Source organism: Homo sapiens, chromosome 10, assembly GCF_000001405.40.
Source record: "Homo sapiens chromosome 10, GRCh38.p14 Primary Assembly".
Taxonomy (NCBI): domain Eukaryota; kingdom Metazoa; phylum Chordata; class Mammalia; order Primates; family Hominidae; genus Homo; species Homo sapiens.
Genome location: NC_000010.11, coordinates 77,870,369 through 77,889,143, shown reverse-complemented (window position 1 = coordinate 77,889,143; position 18,775 = coordinate 77,870,369). Strand labels below are relative to the sequence as shown.

The window sequence follows — 18,775 nt, the reverse complement described above, 5'->3', positions numbered from 1 at the left end:
CTGTGGGCTTGTGAGGCCTGGGAGGTTACCTGTGGGCTTGTGAGGCCTGGGAGGTTACCTGTGGGCTTGTGAGGCCTGGGAGGTTACCTGTGGGCTTGTGAGGCCTGGGAGGTTACCTGTGGGCTTGTGAGGCCTGGGAGGTTACCTGTGGGCTTCACAGCCAGGTGTTCATCTTATCCACTGAAATGCAAACACCTAGGGGGAATGGAGACGTTTGGAGATTTGAATGTTTCAGTTTGGGCAGTTCTTCTTCAGTTATCTTGATGGGGGTGTCTTCGTCACTACCCCTCAAACACACACACAACCCACATATAAAAGACCACACATCTTAAAAGAGCTTGGAAAATATTAGTTGACTTGGTTTAATGCATAAAGCTTGAGAGGAACATGTACATATTAACGGGGTTTGGGATGGTCCTTAATGGGTGTCCTTTCCCGAGGATTCCATTTGCTTGGCACACGGTGTTGGTGCGCAGGTGGATTTGGGCGCATTCCTATCTGTCTTTTGAGACTATCTTAAGAGGCTCCAGTGAATGGACTTATAATGAAAAAGCGAGTGGCCCTTTAAAATGATTCCAGAAGAGTCAGTACCATTGCCTAAAACTATGTCGCAAAGCTCCGCCTGATGAATATTAACACATTTAACCCCTTCTTACCTAATCCTATTCATATGGGAATTCTGCTGTCTTCTGTCATCATGGTTTTTTGCACATTCTTTGCTACCATTTTCCTCTCCAGGACCTTGTAGGTCACCCGAGGGAAGAGGTGCTGACACAGACTGGGCTGTCCACGCAGGGGCTGCAGGAGAGGTGGGGAGCAGAGCCAGCCAAGGTCTTTCCTCTGAGGCTGCTGCCCAGGAGGAGGCCAGGCACATAAGTTCCTGCCGCACTTTGCCTCCTAGTAATTCATTCTGCTCTCCCTGCACTTTGCATTTGCTCTGTTCTCTGGTGCTCCCCAACAGCCCTCCCCGCCCACCTCTCATCTTTGATGTAGTCACCATGGACAAAAAGCTCTCAAAATGAAAGAACAAGTTGTAGGCTCAGAATGTTTGCCCCCGAGGAAAACGCATGTTTGCACAAAATCCTGTCTGACAGTTTCCATTTAAACTAAGAAGTTGGGAGCCCAGCAGGCCCTAGGAAATATGAAAATTGCTGCTTTGTTGGGCTGCATGATGATGGCAGCTCGGTGTGGAACTCTCTCTGCCATGAGAGATCTGAGTTTTTCAGATGAAAATCGCCGGCTGGCTGTAGGCACGGCTGCTGCTGCTGTGAGCACACACAAAGGCGTGTGGCTCTGGAGCCTGTTTGTCTGTCCCTCAAGGTCTCTTCTTTGTTTTTCTGAAATGTGATGAAATGGAACGTGACTTTAAAAATAGATATTTTCTGGAGATGGCCTGGCTGGGATCTCTGGCCTCAGCAGCCTTACTTCTGCCCCATGAATCTCTTATCTCATCTCAGCTGATGGGACATTGGCAAGGGCAGCTTGTATTTTTTTTGTTTGTTTTTATTCTTAGTAGCCTTTCCAAATATATTCCTTTTGATCACTTCTTTCTTTCCACACAGGCTACAGATTCAATAGAAACTCTTAACCGTGTTAGCTTTTTTCTCTTTAATATTAATTTTTTTTTCTGACTACCAAAGCAACAGTGCTTATTTAAAAAATAAAAGAAAGAAAAAGTTTCAAAAACTACAGATGATAGCAAGTCAGTGTTCCCCTGAAGTGTCTGCTGGGGGCCTGAGGCTGGGAAAGAAGGCACAGTGGGCTCAGACAGTGTTCATCCAGGTGGGGTAGGACTGCAGCTGCTGAGTGGGCCCAGGACGGATGGCAGAGAGGACTGAGGACTCAGGCAGCTCAGGAGCAGTTACAGGCAAAGGGCTGGGAGGTGGGTGCATCTGGTCATTGACTTTCTAGCTGAATGATCTTGGGTTAGTTCCTTGATCTTGGAGAGCCTTGGGGTTCTTGTCTGTAAAATGGGGCTAACAGCAATACGTTTGTCCTGGGGGCTGAAGTTTTAAGTGAGATAGTGTATGTGGGTGATGTCTGTATTGGAAGGGCCTGCACAGAGCATGGGTAAATGGTTGCAACTGTATTAGTTTGCTAAGGCTGCCATACAGAGTATCACAGACCAGGAAGCTTAAACAACAGACATGGATTATCTCACAGTTCTGGAGGCTGGAAGTCCAAGGTCAGGGCGTCAGATGGGCAGGTTTCTTCTGAAGCTTCTTTCCTTAGCTTGCAGATGGCCATGTTCTCCGTGCAGTTCTTCATGCAGTTCTCCTTCTGTGCATGTCTGTGTCCTGATCTCTTGTTATAAGGATGCCAGTCATTTTGGATTAGGGCCCACCCTCATGGCCTCATATTAACTTTATTACATCTTTAAAGACCTTATCTTCCAATACAGTCATATTTTGAGGAACTGCAGAAGGGGTTAGGGCTTTAACATATGGATTTTGGGGGAATACACTTCAGCCCATAAGAGCAGCATTACTGGCAGGGCGCGTTGGCTCACGCCTATAATCCCAGCACTTTGGGAGGCCAAAGCAGGCAGATCACTTGAGGTCAGGAGTTCAAGACCAGACTGACCAACATAGTGACACCCCATCTCTACTAAAAATACAAAAAATTAGCCAGGCCTGGTGGTGTGTGCCTGTAATCCCAGCTACTCGGGAGGTTGAGGCGAACCTGGGAGGTGGAGGTTGCAGTGAGCTGAGATCTAGCCTGGGTGACAGAGCGAGACTCTGTCTCCAAAAAAAAAAAAAGCAACATTACTACTCTCACACGGTTCTCTAGTGACAACGGTACCCTAAGGGGGCAAGCATTTCTGGCTGAGGGTCAGTGGCAGTGTTCAGGAAGCTCAGAGGGCAGGAAGCCCAGGGTGCGTGTGCAGACCCTGGTGGTATTCCCCAACTGAGCCACTCACCAGAGACTCTGAGCAGCATCTTAAAAGCCTGGAATGCTGGAGGTGCTGATTCCTGGGGATAGGAAGGGGTCCTGAGACATTTTTGGTTTTTATTTTTATTTTTTTCCAGCATTTTTAAAGAGCAGCTTGGATGATTCTGATGAACAGCCAGGCTGGGAGCCATTGGCCAGAAGCTCTGTTGACCGACTGCCCCTCTCTGTTGGCTCTCACAGCCTGCACAGGGTGTCCAGGTGCTTATCTGGGGGGACCTTTCTCTACCTAGGGATTCCTGCACTCTTGCCTTCGCTGGAGGGCACTTCCTTCATCCCCTTCCTCCTCTCATCCTGCTCATCAGAGTTGTGGGCTTGTTTCACTCCTGGCACTGGCACCAGCTTGCTGTGTGACCTGGCTCAGTCACGCCCCCTCTGAACACCTGTAGGATGTCAGGGCTGGACGGTAGAGGGGATGCCCCTTAAACTATGAGAGGGCTGAAGTCTGACTAGAAAATGCAGATTCAACTCTTACTCTTCACACTTTCACTAAGCATTTGCCTTGCTCAGGGGGCAGGGAGAGTAGAGCAGCCATAGTGGTGCAGGCTGGAGGGTCCCAGTCCATTGAGATGAGACTGCCTGCAGAGCTCCCTGCAAATGGCCAGAGGGTCAGGAGCTGCAGGAGGCTGGAATCTTTGGGGGCTGGCACACTTTGATTCCATTTGCTGTACTCCAGGGTCGTGGATGTGGATTTTGGTTTTTTTCTCTTTGCACAAGATAGTGAATGAAATATTTTCCCTCGTTACTCAAGATCAACTTTTCTGAGCATTGCCCACGTGTGAAAGATAATCTACATCCCTTTATGCATTTGAAATCCTTCTGTGATCTCCTCTTCCATTTTCTGTGGTTGACTTGGGGCAATTTGAAGGCATTGTGTGTCCAGATTTTGCTTGGAGTGTTTTAGGGGGAGCTCCTCTTTCTGCATTTAAACAAAGAGTAGCATGGGCCTGTTTTCTGAGCGTAGGCATCTAAGAATGGGCTCATGCTCTAGCTGAGGGCCCATGTGAGCACTTGAATGTACTGAGATGACAGGTGTGGAATGGGTCATGATGAAAGCTTGCTATAGGGTTTTAGGGCGAAGAATGCTTGTGCTGTTTTATCTTTATTTGTGGGGGGATAGGAGGTGACAGCCTGAGTGTATAGTACCCAAAGTCTCATTTAAAAGCTCACTCCTGCTCTGGGTGTGACAAAGGTGAGCGTTGGATACCTCAGTGGATGTCTGCAGGTAAGTGTGTGCAGCGTCCTTTCTGTAAAACATTGGAAAGAGTCCCAGCAGTTTCAGGAATGGACTTCTGAAGTCCGCCATTTCCAAAATGCACACCGAGTACTGTGAAAATGAGGGTGAACCCTCCTGGACGGTGTTACTTTATCGGAGAGGAAGCATGTTTGGAACATCTGAGGGCCCGTCTTGGATTGGAGGATCATCTGCTTTGGGCAGGGCTGCCCAGAGCGCCTCTGATAGCCAAACTCTCAGACTTTCTGTTTCTCGGGGCCTCAAAAGAAGTCGATGGAAAAAAGATAATTGTCCTTTTATTTTTCCCTGAGCGCTCCTTGAGTCACAGTCATTTAAAGGATGTCAGAGACACAGATTAGATTGCAGAGTTTAATTCCAATCAGTAATTAATTACGGGAAGCCTGCTAAGTGCCGACCACCATGAACCATGTCTCTGGAGGTGGACAGGTCTGTAGAAACAATGTGCTCCGGGGATGAGATACTCTTGCCCGACTTGCCCAAGGCAGACGTTGCTGATCCACTGTGGGGTCCTTTCCCAGTGAGCTGAGGTATGGCTTTAGGCACAGTACTCAGGCAGGCGGTGTGATGCATGGCTGCTCTTTCAAGATGCACCTTGTGCCTTTTCTGGTCTTATCCAAGCCCTTCAATTCTCAGATGGAGAAACAGGGCCAATCAATTGCCTGCTTAATTGACTCCATGCATAGCATCTTTGACCTCCAAATGACCAGATCAGAAGTTTCTTTGCTTCCGAGTCCTCCCTAGCATTTGGTGTGGCAGACCAACCCCTCCAGGCTCCCTCCACCCCATTGCCTTCTAGGATGCATCATTCTCTTGCTCCTCCTACCCCTGCTCCAAGTGATCTTTCTATGTCTTTTCCAGAAACTCATTTTTTCCTCCTGTCTTCACAGGAAGTATTTCCCCAGATTCTGAACTTTATATACACTTAGAACAATGTTACTTCAGGCCAGGCGTGATGGCTCACGCCTGTAATCCCAGAACTTTGGGAGGCTGAGGTGGGTGAATCCCCTGAGGTCAGGAGTTTGAGACCAGCCTGGCCTACATGGCAAAACACTGTCTCTCCTAAAAATACAAAAAATTAGCCAACTTCTGGTGGCAGGTACCTGTAATCCCAGTTACTTGGGAGGCTGAGTCAGGAGAATTGCTTGAACCCAGAAGGGGGAGGTTGCAGTGAGCTGAGATCACACCACTGCACTCCAGCCTGGGCAACAGAGGGAGACTCCGTCTCAAAAAAAAAAAAAAAAAAAAAAAGAACAATGTTACTTCATAGTCACTGTTTAGGGGGTCCATAGATCCAGCCCTCTCCTCTGTTTTTTCTTTTTCTTTCCCAATGACATTGTTCAAATTGAGTCTTATGTTTTTTTCTAACCCAGGGGCTTCACATTACCAATTAGTGACTCTGGGCTTGTCACTCACATCCTGCAGGCTCAATGGTGTGACTCTGGAGTGGACTGTGTTAGCCTGAAACTTTCTCTGTGGTGCCACATTCCAGTTTCTGAGTGTCAGCAGGCTGTCTTCACAGGGATTTTCTTTAGTGCATTCTACCTGATGGATTTCAACGATCTCATTCCTCCTCCTTTAATCCTCTGCCTCTGTTAACTGTGTCACCTTCTGGGATGCCCCAACCACAAACCTCAGCACCATCCTCCATTCTTCCCTACCTGTGGTCTTGGGCCCTCTCCCTACCCGTACCCCATGACCAGTAGTTAAGGGCAGCTCTTGTGGGAACATCCTAACTGTTCTCTCAGCTTCCAGGCTCTCCCTGCTTCCATCCTTCCAGTTCACAGTTGCTGGAGACAGGTTCCTGAAGCTCATACCTGCTTGCTTATTCCTGTGTTCAAAAACCCTGGGCATTCTTGAACTCCAAGGCCCAGAAGCTGGAGCTTTCACCCATAGTAATGAAAGTCAGCGTAGAATTGCGTGAAACTAGGTGAGGTGTGGTCCACCCTGAGGGCCCAGAGATTTTGGACACCTCTAATGGAGAGAAATGGAGGTGAAGCTCTTGGGTGTTTTTTTTTTTTTTCTTTGAGACATTGTTTCGCTGGAGTGCACCCAGGCTGGAGTGCAGTGGAGTGATCTCGGCCCACTGCAACCTCTGTTTCCCAGGTTCTCGTGCCTCACCCTCCCGAGTAGCTGGCATTACAGACGTGCACCACCACACCAGGCTGACTTTTTTTTTTTTTGTATTTTTTTAGTAGAGACGAGGTTTCACCATGTTGGCCAGGCTGGTCTCCAACTCCTGGCCTCAAGTGATCCACCTGCCTCAGCCTCCCAGAGTGCTGGGATTACAGGCGTGAGCCACTGCACCTGGCCTTCTTGCGTTTTAATTCCTTTTCCTTTTGTATGCATGTTTGTTGTTTTTGTTGTTTGTGTTTTGAATAAGAGTAGAAGGAAGAAGGAGTTTGTGGAAGAGAAGAGGCTGACAGTGGAAAGTAGAGAGAAGCATGAAGGAAGACTGGGAAAGATTTGCAGTGGAGTCGGGGACAGAGATAGACCTGAGCCTCCTGAGGAGGTGAAAAATGGATCATTTATTAGCAGTTACGAAGCACTTTCAGCATCCAGTATTTCATTTGCTCTGCACGACAGCCTGTGAAATACTGACTGTATAAAGACTTTTAGCCTCAGTGTGCAAATGACACCGAGGCTCAGAAAAAGTATTTGCTCCTGGTCACTGATTAGGAGGTGGCCAAAGCAGAGGGAGCCCATGTCCATCCAGCTCCTGATCCTGGGCCCTTTCCACAGTATGGGGTCACTTTGTGCCTCCCGCCCTATGGCAGGGGTCCTGACGAGTTCAAACTCAGCAGGAATATTGTGGTGGGCAAGGGGTTCTCCATGACCTCAGGAGCCCTAGTTGCTGCTACTACAGACCCAGGCTGAGTTGCCTTGGTGGTCAGTGATTCTCAATGCAGCCCACGAAGTAGATGAGGAGGGCAGTGTAGATGACATTGAAGAAAGAGGGGGCAGAAACAGCACCCGTTTGCTGATGTCTTAGATAAGACTTTTCCTTTGTAGTTGCCCTCTTTGGCCTTTGTGGACAGAATGTCCCCGACCTGTGAAGCCTGGGATGCCATGTCCTTGCCTAATGCCCAGCTCATGCCATGTGACTTGGGCAGTTCCCAGAGCCATCATTTTCTCTGGCTGATGACTCAGCTTACCTTGAGCTGAGATTAATGGAACATGCCATTATGGGATGGTGTGGCACGAAGGGACAGTGGGGGAGGGACACCTTTACAGTTCTTTTGCATTTGGTCTAAGCATCAGAATCATAAACAGCTTCCTGAAACTCCATTGGCCCACTCCATTTCTTGCTGCCTTCTAAAGACCCAGGATGGAGATATTTATCTAGCTTGTTCCAGAGACAGTACTAGTCTCTTCTGAGGGGGACCAGAGAAATCCACGGCCAGAGGAGTGACAAGGCCAGAGAGGTTGAAGCCAGGACTAGAGGACAAGGCTGGCAGCTGAGCTGTGACAGAGGTGACTGGAACCCTTCTTTCTCATGCTTCCCTTTTTTCCTTCTGTTGGAAAGATGGCCTTGGCCACAGTGCTGCATGCTGGCCACGAGATAGCATGCCTGCTTGGAGAAGAGCTCCTGACCTGCCAGTAGTGATTACTAGGTATCTCCTGTTCCCTGAGTGTTGACACTGGGCGAGGGATGCCTGCTTGCATCTTTTTCTATCCAGTGGGAGAAGGAACTAGTGAGTATCACTTTTTCTGATCTTGTCAGAAAGGAGGAGGTCTGGTCAGGAGTTCAAGACTAGCCTGGCCAACATGGTGAAATCCCATCTCCACTAAAAATACAAAAATTAGCCAGGCACAGAGGCACATGCCTGTAACCCCAGCTACTCAGGAGGCTGAGGCAGGAGAATCACTTGGACCCGGGAGATGAAGGTTGCAGTGAGCTGAGATCACACCACTGCACTCCAGCCTGGGTGACAGAGTGAGACTTTGTCTCAAAAAAAAAAAAAAAAAAAAAAAAAAAAGGTCTAGGGTTAGTGGATGAGAGTCCTGCTTGAGTTGGGACCCTCTGCTTACTAGCTTTGTGGCCTTGGGCAAGTTACTTGGCTTCTCTGAGCCTACATTTCTTCATCTAGAAGGTGAGTTGATAGTGGCCCACCTTGTAGGATTGTTGGGAGAATTAAATGAAATAATCCATACAAATAGTGCCTTTCTTGCAACAAGTACTCAATAAATGTTACCTGATATGAGTAGAGTGTAACAACAAAAACATGAGCTGTGCCATGTAGGATGCCTAGTATACACTGAAGGGTCTCCCTAATGCTCTGCCTCATTTCCATCAGCCTCCTTGATAACTGGGGAAGTTCAGGGGGTAGGTGGAGTGCAGATTCAGCTTGATCAGGAGTCGGGAGGATTGTGTGTCTGTCTTACCTTCACCATTAAGCAACATGGGCATATCTGAGCACCTCTCTTAAGACCTGACCACATGCAGTTGTGTTCAGTTTGTTTGTTTGTTTGTTTTTATTTATTTTTTGAGATGGAGTCTCACTCTGTTGCCCAGGTTGGAGTGCAGTGGTGCAATCTCAGCTCACTGCAACCTCCGCCTCCTGGGTTCAAGCAATTCTCTTGCCCCAGCCTCCTGAGTAGCTGGGATTACAGGCATGCGCCACCATGGCCGGCTAATTTTTGTATTTTTAGTAGAGGCGGGGTTTCACTGTGTTGGCCAGGCTGGTCCTGAAACCCTGACCTCAGGTGATCCACCCGTCTTGGCCTCCCAAAGTGCTAGGATTACAGGTGTGAGCCACTGCACCCGGCTGTGTTCAGTTTCTTTACTTGTGTGGTCGACTCTCCCATCTCACTACCCACTTCTCCTCTGTCTTCTTGGTTGATTTCTCTTCTCTTCCCTTAGCCCCTGCATGCTCAGGTTCATTCCTTGGACCTCTCCACTGCCCTTGCTGTCTGTACTCCTTCCTTGGGTGATTTTATCAAGGCTCATCACTTTAAATACTAAGCATATGCTGACAATTCTCAGATTACATCTCTAGCCATGACCTTGTCAGTGAACTTGAGGCCTGTACATCCATCTGCCTGCCTGACACCTCCCTTGTGTGTCTGTAGGCACCTCACGCATGACCAGGCCCCGCGGGAACTCATGATTCCCCAACTCCCTCCCCCATCTGTTTTTCCTGCAGGCTTCCCCCTTTCAGCAAGGACCAACATCATCCTTCCAGTTTCCAGGCCAAGAACCCTGGAGTCATCCTTGACTTTTCTTTCTTTCCTATTCCACATTGGGCCTATGAGCAGATCCTTTCAGCTCTGCTCCAAGCCAAATGTGGAATAGGAAAGAAAGAAAAGCTCCAAAATATCCCTCAAATCCAGCTACTTCTCACCAACACCATTCTTGTCACTCTGGTCCAGACCCCCAGCATTGCTCCCCTGGACTTGCGAGTTTGCTGTCTGACTTGTTTCTATGCTTCCCTGCTTGTGGACAACATTCAACAAATCATCTAATGAGCCTAAGTAGATGTAAGTCAGATCATGGCTTTCCTCTACTCAGAACCTTCCAGAGTTTTCCCGTCTCACTCTGAATAAAGCCCTGCATCCTCTGTGTGGCCCATAAGGTTCTGCCTGGAGCTGTCCTATTGCCCCTGTGACCTCATCTGCATCCTCCTCCAGGTCCCTCCACCCACAGCAGACAGGTCTCCCCGCATGGGGTGGCCCCAGGGCCTTTGCACTTGCTATTCCCTCCTCTGGCACTCCACGCTTCCTCTAGGTCTCTGGGGAAAGATGACCTGCCCAGAGAGACCCCTGCCACCGCTGTACAATAGCCACATCTCCTCTCCACCCCCACCACCTACCATTTAACTCTGCAACATTTTTCTTCATAGCACTTACTACCCAATACAGTTTATGTTTGTTTATTTCTCCCCCGCCCCTGTCACCCTGTTCATGTGAGCTCCATGAGGGCAGGGATTTGTCCATCTTGCTTCCTGCTGCATCCCAGTACTTCACCCAGCATTAACCCAGCGTTTGGCGAATGAGTGGGCCTTGTGTTTCCGGGGACAGACATGCCCACCAATGCGTAGCATCTTTTACAGGGCACTGACTGATGTCTGTATGTAGGTGGTGGGAGCCAGGACTGGATGAGTGGAGGTGCAAGCCTGGTATGATTCCAGGCACACTGTGAGCGCTCTGGTTTTTTCTTTGTGAACCAGAGAACCAGAAATCATAAGGGATGCTGGGGATGGCTTGGAATTGCCATGGCCACGTGGAATGGTGGGAGGGGAGAGGAAGCCTCCTTATCCACAGGCATAGATAGAGCTGTATTCAGGTATTGAGAGGCGACACTCATGGCTGGGTTGAGGGGGAAGCATTAGCTCCTGAGGGAGATGGTGATGGGAAGTATACAGAGTACTCAATGCAGAGCTTCTAACCAGCAAAACACTCCAGAAGTCAAGGGAAGGCTGCGTGACTGTCCTCCAGGTCCCTTCCATAGCATCTGCTGTCTGTGTACACTGCAGAGGCCACCCCATGCCCTGCCTTCCTTAGGAGCCTGTGAGACGGTAACAGTAACGAGAGCTGGTGTTTGTGGATCGCTTGCTGTGCGCCTGGCTCTGTTCTAAGGGCTTTCCCTCTCGTTGCTCATTCTGTTCTCATCACCTACTATTCTTCCTATTTTATAAATGAGGAAATGCACAGAAAGTAGAAGCAACTTATTTGAGGTCACACAGCTGGTGAGTGGCAGGCCTGAGCCAGCCGGTCTGACGCAGAGCCTGCCTTGCTACAGTTGCCCTGGGAGGGTGGAGGGCAGTGTACTCTGCAAGGTATGCGCTCCATCCTGTGTGGGAGGGAGGCAGCCTCTTCTCCATTTACTGACTAGTGGAAATTGAGCACCGGGCCAGAGCAGGAGGGAGCCGGGGGTGCCCGGTGCCTTTCAGAGAGCTGCTTCCTGCCTGTTGTGACTTCTGGGGCTTATCAGAAGTTTATTCTAGGGCAGACATGGCCCCCGGGGGATGTCCGGCTGGAGCATAATGGAGGCTTGGCTGCCTCTTGGGTGCCCCTGCTGCTCAGATTTCCTGTCTGGGTTTGGTGTGACATGTGCTGTCAGGGTGGCGGGGCAGAGGCGCTGCTCCACTCCTTCACACCTCGCCTTGTGGGTGCTGTCAGGCTTGGCTATGTTCGTTGTCCCCCCTCCACCCCCACCTTCCAGGGCATAGCACGATGGCCCCATCCTCCTCCTTAATCAGACCCTCTTTGGGCCTCCTCCTGTGCCTTTTAGGTGCAGAACTGTCTTAGTCTGGCCAGAAGTGACAGCAGGGAGCAGGGCTTGGTTTTGGTGATGGAAAGCAGGAACCGAGAGGTGGTCCCACCTGGTGTCAGGTTTGATGGTCTTAGGTCCTCCCACTGCCTTCCCTCCCTCCCTGCTCCCATCCCCAACCTGCAGCCCGGCAGCTCTGAAGGGAGGCAGAACAAAGAGGGTGGCTTTCATCAGACACAGGCTTTGTGCTCATCCCAAAGCCTCCAGGAGCCTTTGCTTCGCTGATGAAGACAAGCAGGCTATCCAACTGTGGACTCTTTTCATCCCTCGAAATTCAACAAACTTCCATCTTTCCTTTATGTGCTAGTTTTATTTTATTTTTTTTTAGTCCCTGTCACTTGCCACTTAAAAGAGGAAAAAAAAAAAAGTAAAGAAAAAGACCAAAACCAGTCCTGTAGTTAGCGAGTGAAGGGTCTTGCATGGTACTGAATGATTTAATTCTGGGGTGCACATGTTTTGTTTTCCCTCTCTTTACATATTTTTGCCTTGGGGCATTTTGGGTGGGGAAGGGAGGGGAGTCACAGATGGCAAAATTGATACGAGAGTTTTCTCAGGTTCAGGCAATTTAGTTCATTATTTTATAAATGGCCTCAAAAGTCCAGTGGGAAGGGGTTAGGGAATGTGTTAAGGAATGGACACAAAAGCCAGGTGTGGTGGCGCACACCTGTAATCCCAGCACTTTGGGAGGCTGAGGCGAGCAGATTGCTTGAGCCTAGAAGTTTGAGACCAGCCTGGGCAACAAAGAGAGACCCTGTCTCTATTTATTTTAAAATATAAAGTTTAAAAAAAAAAAAAAGAATGGACAGAGAGCTCGGCAGCCATCATCTTCCTTCCTGCCACCCCACACAGATCTCACTGCATACCTGAGGTTAAATCTCCAATTATCTGGGCAATGCCCCTTCCCCTTTACTTTTTTTTTTTCCTTCCTTCCTTCCCTTCCTTCCCTCCCTCCCTCCCTCCCTTCCTTCCTTCCTTCCTTCCTTCCTCTTAGAAAAAAAAGATGGGATTGGCTGGGTGTGGTGGCTCATGCCTGTAATTCCAGCATTTTGGGGTGGATCACCTGAAGTCAGGAGTTCGAGACCGGCCTGGCCAACGTGGTGAAACCCCGTCTTTACTAAAAAATACAAAATAGCCAGGCATGGTGGTGCATGCCTGTAGTCCCAGCTACTCAGGAGGCTGAGGCTCGAGAATAGCTTGAACCTGGGAGGTGGAGGTTACAGTGAGCTAAGATTGTGCCACTGCACTCCAGCCTGGGCAACAGAGTGAGACTCTCTTTCAAAAAAAAAAAAAAAAAAAGAGAGATGGGGTCTTGCTATATTGCCCAGGCTGGTCTTGAACTCCTGACCTAAGTGATCCTCCTGCTTCAGCCTCCCAAAGTGCTGGGATTACAGGCATGAGCCACCTCACCTGGCCACCTTTACCTTTTAAAGATAGGTGAGCAGTTCTTATAACGACCAGAAATAGGGGGAATCCACATCATTATGATTTTTTTTTTTTTTAGCGCAGTGATGCTGCTTGTTCCAAAACTTGGTGGAAAATACTATAGCATTATCTCAGTTGAGGAAAACAAATATTAAATCTTAACTTACAAACCAAGAGTAGGATTTTCCCACCCTCGGGTGGCATATAAGGCGCATCAGCAGGACTTCCTTGATGACATGCCAGTGTCTGTGGTTGCTCCATTCCAGGGCCATGGTCAACCTATACCTCCCTGAAATACTGGGCCTTGTCCGCTTCCCAGTTTGGGTTTCAGTGTCTGTAGCCTTGGGCCGTGCTTTTAAAGGGTAGGAGGCCGAGCCCCTAGGGAGGGGCTGGGGCTGCCCTGAGTGTAGTTTTTTCTTTTCTTTTTTTTTTCCCTGCCACCTTTCTTCCCTCCTGAGAACTGAGCATGGTTCTGCAAGCAGGCTTCCTAGTAGCCTAATAGTAGGATATGAGCCCTCTGTCCCCCCAGCATCCCAGGAGGTCTTTAAAACAGAGAAGGTGGGCTCTGCCAAAGGTGATAGCACTCCGCAACTTTCACGGTCACCTCCTTCCTCATCTCTGCAGTTCACAGAATTGAGTGGCTCTTGAGTGCAGGCTTGCCCACACACTGCGACTCCCCTCTGCAGGCAGCACAGGCATGGGTATGGAATGGGGGCCATGAAGCCACAGCTCCTTCTCTTTCTTCCCACTTGGGTGGAAGTGGCTCAGCTCAGAATGCCTATTGAGTGTTGTCTCGGTGTGGGGAGGTGGGCAGGGAGGAGGTGAGCCCATTCCCAGGGAATAGAGGCTGGGGGGCCTTGGCCCAAGCCAGCCCTGCTCTGAGACTTCTTACCCTTCCAGAGAAATGGGTTCCGCCTGTTGTCTCCTGCAAGCTGATCGGGCTTCTCATGTGCTTATCCAAGGCCACCACCTTTCAGGGCCAGCTCCAGGCCCCTGCCTCCATGAAGTCCTCTCTGACTGCTCTTCCCTGTGGAGCCGGGCAGCAGTATTGTGTGTAGGATTTGAGAGCACAGGCGCTGGGGTAGACTGCCTGGGTTTGTATCCTGTTTGTGCTCTTAGTAGCCCTAGCACGACCTTCAGCAAATTAATTTTTCTAACTCTTAGTTTCTTCCTCTGTGAAATGGGACTAATAATGACAACCTTTGGGTTGTTATGGAAATTAATGGAGGCAATACATGCAAAGTGCTTAGCACAGTCCCAGTACTTAGTAGTGCTTAGTACCTATTAGCTGCTATTATTTTTCTTGAGAGTGCCATATACAGTGCAGCAGTTTGCTTGTAGATTGTGTGACTTGTCACTCTAGTACAGCTTTCCATGTAGGTAATTGAGGAATTGAACAGCAGAGTTGGAAGGGCCCTCTGCAGGTCTGGACTGACCATAATAACACCAGCTAACACTTAGAGTACCGGCTATGCGAGGTACTGTTTCAGTCACTTTTCACAAACAGGCAGAATATCCCTTATCTGAAATCCTTGGAACCAGAAGTGTTTTTGGGGTTTGGATTTCTCTAGATTCTGGAATATTTGCATATACATAATGAGATATCTTGGGGATAGGACCCAAGTCTAGATGTGAAACGTATTCTCATTTCATATACACCTTATATACACATAGCCTGAAGATAATTTTGTTTTTCCTTTGAGGAAGCAGAATAAACTGTATCCTGCGCCTGCATTTTGACTGGCCCATCACATGAGGTCAGGTGTGGAATTTTCTGCTGTGGTGTCATGTTGGTGCTCAAAAAGTTTCAGATTTTGGAGATTTTTGGATTAGGGATACTCAACCTGCATTAAATCAGTTTATCCTCAAACAGCTCTAAGAGATAAGCACTTCTATCATCCCATTTTACTGATAAGTATGTGGAAGCACAGAGAGGCAGAGTGACTTACCTAACAGCACACAGCTCATAAGGGGCTGGGCTGGGAGTTAACTCCAAGCAGTTTGGCCCCAGCTGTGCTGCAATCATTATTGTTTGGCTCAGAGAGAAGGGCCTTCTTCTGAAGGCTACTCACAGCAGATGAGTAACCTCCAGGCTCTTGAGCCCCTGGCTTGCCATTCTTTCTCCCGAACCTGGCCCAGTGCCATGCTAGGCGGGGGGCACGTGTTGGAAACCTGGCTGACACGTGTGAGTCCGGGAGCGATTGGGCACCTTCGGTCATTCTGCTGTGGTTCGTCAGGCTGTGGTTCCTCAGTGTGAGCTGGAGGAGGGCGGCAGGATGTGGCAGGTGCCCTGAAAGTGACTGTCCTCCTGGGGCCCAGGCAGCACTTCCTGCTCTGTCTTCAGGGACCCCAGAGCTCCAGAGAGTAGCAGCTTGGTGTCTCCCTCTCCTTTCCCTGGGGATTGAGGTAGGGGGTGCTGGCCTCCCTGTGACCGTGAGCCGTCAGCTCTCTGCCTTTCTGCCTGGGCCCTTCTGGAGGACAGGGAGAACTCTGTGTGCTGGTTCAAGGCTGGAACAAGTTCCTTCAGCCACTGTGAGCTTCACGAAGAGGAAGCGTGAGTCACCAGGGCCTTTACAAGCTCCAGGTGAATGGAAGGGGTGTGTTGGGGGCGTGCTTCCATCTCTCTTGGGCCTCATGGTCTATGGGAGGGGGCCTGGGAGGGCTGGGGCATTCCATTATTGTTCGGGTGGTTTTTCCTGGAATTTCTTTTGAAGTGGTCTTCGTGACCCAGTGGCACTGAGTCACGGGGTAAACAGAATTATCAGGGGCTGGGCTCTTGGAAAGGACACAGACAGTGCCCGTGGGCCAGTCCCAGAGGGTCACCAGGCTGGCTTCCTCCCAGTGGCTTCCTTCCACCTCTCCCAGGGTTTTGGCTGCAGCTTCCATGTGCATCCCACCTGTGGACTCCAGCTCTGGGCCAGTGTGTAGAGCATGTGCCCTGGGGGCTTGTGAGAAATGCATTCTGAAACCCCACCCTCATCTGCTGAATAAGAGTTTACGTTGCCCAGGTAGTTCCTTTGATAGTAAAGAATCTCCTTATATCACGCTCTGGCCCACATGTCCACGTCTAAACTTGGCCTCAAGCTCCCCTTTTCTGGAAATGTTTCCACATCATCCAACTTTCTCTGGATCTCATCAGCACCTCTGCATGGTACTTGGTAGCTTGCACAAGTTTGTGGTTGGTGCCCTCCTCTCGTGTGTGTGTGTGTGTGTGTGCACACACACACACACACATCAGGAGGCTGATCCTACAGTCCCCCTTAGCCCTGGGCACTCTGTGAGGTAGAGAATGTCCCTCCACACTGTTTCTCCTTCCACAGCAGCCCATCCTAGGTTTCAGGGCAGGTTGGGTGGAGGTGCCTTCAGGAGAACCTGGGGAAATTGTCTCCTCCTGGATTGGGCCATGGCAGAAGATGAGGAGCACCAAATTTGACTCCAAATTTGATGGCGAAACCCCAGAGGTAGATGACGCCGACACCTGCCCCTCCGCCCCATGGAAGCAACCGGCCTTGAAAGGACACCGTGTGACTTTGGGGGACAGTGGCTTCTTTTGCCTTTTCCTGACTGTCCTGACCACACAGGCCTTTAGGACAACAATAACCGCAGAGACAAAGCATGACCGAGACAATGTCGTCTTTGGGCCTTTTTTCCCCCTTAATGACGTCCAAGGCTCTGGGAACATTGTAAAAACTGGGTCCTGTCCAATTTTAACCACTCCCCCCACCAGCTCCTAGGAGCCCTGCCAGCTCCCTGGGTTGGGGGTGGGAGTGATGCCCAGAGATGCACACAAAGATGTCACGCTGCCCTGGTTAGGCCCCAGAGGCCAGTCAGGACTGCAGGGACAGGGAAGAGGAACAGAACGTGTCGCTTGGCCTGTGGACTCCCCCAGCCAGGGAGGTAGGTGGGCGGAGAGAGGGAAGGGCATCTGCCAAGCTTAATTAACAGTGGAAACTTGCCACAGGGGAGGAGAGAGACGATTTGAAGAGGAGGGGCAGTTTACTGGAAGAAGGGGCACTGCTGATGCCAAGAGTAAGAAAGAGGGGAGCGTTCCAGCAGAGGCATCTGGAGCGCAGGCTGCCAGTGTCGTAAGCTGGGATGGGTTGAGCATAGAGATTTCTGGAGGTGAGAGTGGGGAAATTTATTTGTGCCTGCTTTCCTGAGTAGACGTCTTCCAAAAACAATCCACCAACATGTCAGTGGCTAGCCTTCCTTGCCCCCATAAAGAAAAAATACTATTTAAAAAATGGTAGTTGAGTTTAGAAAATAGGCATTGTGTTGGGTTCTTGTTCTTTGAAGATATCAATGGATTGCCCGAATTGCATTTGACTTTATTTCACAGATATTGAAGCAACATGTAATGTGTATGATATAGAAAGAGAGATGGGTTAAAAAAACATGTGATGCAGGCCAGACATGGTGGCTCATGCCTGTAATCCTAGCACTTTGGGAGGCTGAGGCCTGGTGGATCCCGAGGTCAGGAGTTCAAGACCAGCCTGGCCAACATAGCAAAACCCTGTCTCTACTAAAAATAGAAAAAATTAGGCAGGCATGGTGGTGGGCACCTGTAATCCCAGCTACTCAGGAGGCTGGGGCAGGAGAATCGCTTGAACCCAGGAGGTGGAGGTTGCAGTGAGCCGAGATCGCGCCATTGCACTCCAGCCCAGGCGACAGTGCAAGACTCTGTCTCAAAAAAAAAAAAAAAAAAAAAAAAGTGTGATGCTTATTGTTTTTGTTGAGACAAAAATGCAGAGATATTGAATGTACAGCAAAACTAATAGTGTGGGTTGGACTTCAGATATGGGAGGTGGAGCATGGGTTATTCATTATTAGCAGGATCATAGAATTTTAAGGCTGAACTGGGTTTTCTGGTTTCATCTCCCTTCAGATGCACAGACTTCCCCATGACATCCATGCCACTGAGTGCTGGGCCTCCCTCACTGTCTCACCCCCTCACCCTCAGGCTTTTCATACCTGGCAGTGCTGACCGTGGCCATCCAGACCTGTTTAGAGATGCAGCTTTCTCCAGCATCCACCCGCTGCTCCTGGTTTGGCTGCTGGAGGCCATCAAGAACAAATCTAATCCCTTCTGACAGTCGTATTGAGAGACAAGACACCTACCCATTCCCCAGTCATTCTCTTCAGCCCATGCTCAACGCCTTCAGATTCTTCAGAGTCTCTGAAAATGTGATAATGAGGCTACTGGTCATTGCCGGTCACGCCTGTCCTAGTGCTTGCCATTACCAAAGTTGCTTTTTGCTTGCTTTCTCTTTTTTCTCTCCCCCTTCATCTCTTTTTCTGATGGACACGCCTGCTAGCTCGCCTGCCTGCAGTCTATCTCTCTGCCCTCCTGCATGGTCCTCACCTCCCCAGCAAAGTCTCCCTGCTTTCCCCTCAAGGTCTCTCCTGTCCCCCAGGGGCCTCCCACCTACAGTGCATCTCCCTCCCCTGCCCCGCTCCCCCATTTACCCCCATTTCTTCATTTCTCCTCTTTCCCGTCCAAAGATGCGTGTAGGGTGGCTAGTCAAGAATTGCAGTGGAAGAGTGTTTTTTGTTTTTTTTTTCTGAGACAGGATCTCACTTTGTTGCCCAGGCTGAAGTGCAGTGGCATGATCATGGCTCACTGCAGCCTTGACTTCCCTGGGCTTAGGTGATCCTCCCACCTCAGACTCCCAGGTAGCTGGGATTACAGGTGCGTGCCACCACGCCCAGCTAATTTTTTGTATTTTTTATAGAGATGGAGTTTCACTATGTTGCCCAGGCTGGTCTCAAACTCCTGAGCTGAAGCAATCTGCCCACCTTGGCCTCCCAAAGCACTGGGATTATAGGTGTGAGCCACCGTGCCCTGCTGGGAGCTCCTTAAATGTGGTCCTCCACATTTC

General features: G+C 49.7%; 1 protein-coding gene across 11 annotated transcripts in view, besides 2 other annotated features; it reads left to right on the top strand.

Annotated features, from left to right (window-relative positions):
- DLG5 (discs large MAGUK scaffold protein 5) overlaps window positions 1–18,775 on the top strand; it is a 149,946-nt gene that overhangs the window by 51,593 nt on the left and 79,578 nt on the right. Inside the window, exon 1 of one of the 11 annotated variants that reach the window (XM_017016914.2) lies at window positions 15,114–15,480. The exons of 9 other annotated variants lie outside the window; for them this stretch is intronic. Coding sequence is in view for 1 of the 2 variants with exons in the window: in XM_011540341.4 (XP_011538643.1) it covers window positions 16,667–16,793 (127 nt within the window). In the remaining variant the exon portion in view is untranslated. Of the gene's footprint in view, window positions 1–15,113; window positions 15,481–16,294; window positions 16,794–18,775 lie in introns of those variants that run through there. One more of the 11 variants, XM_011540341.4, reaches the window with a different exon arrangement.
- Window positions 10,400–11,339: an enhancer, noted in NCBI's record as "NANOG-H3K27ac-H3K4me1 hESC enhancer chr10:79637563-79638502 (GRCh37/hg19 assembly coordinates)". NCBI's record gives its function as "activates a minimal SCP1, AML or CMV promoter by ChIP-STARR-seq in naive H9 embryonic stem cells {active_cell/tissue: H9 hESC(naive)}" and the evidence as "EXISTENCE:reporter gene assay evidence [ECO:0000049][PMID:30033119]".
- Window positions 11,419–11,713: a silencer, noted in NCBI's record as "tiled region #8551; K562 Repressive non-DNase unmatched - State 19:H4K20". NCBI's record gives its function as "represses a minimal TATA promoter and a strong SV40 promoter by Sharpr-MPRA in K562 cells {active_cell/tissue: K562}" and the evidence as "EXISTENCE:reporter gene assay evidence [ECO:0000049][PMID:27701403]".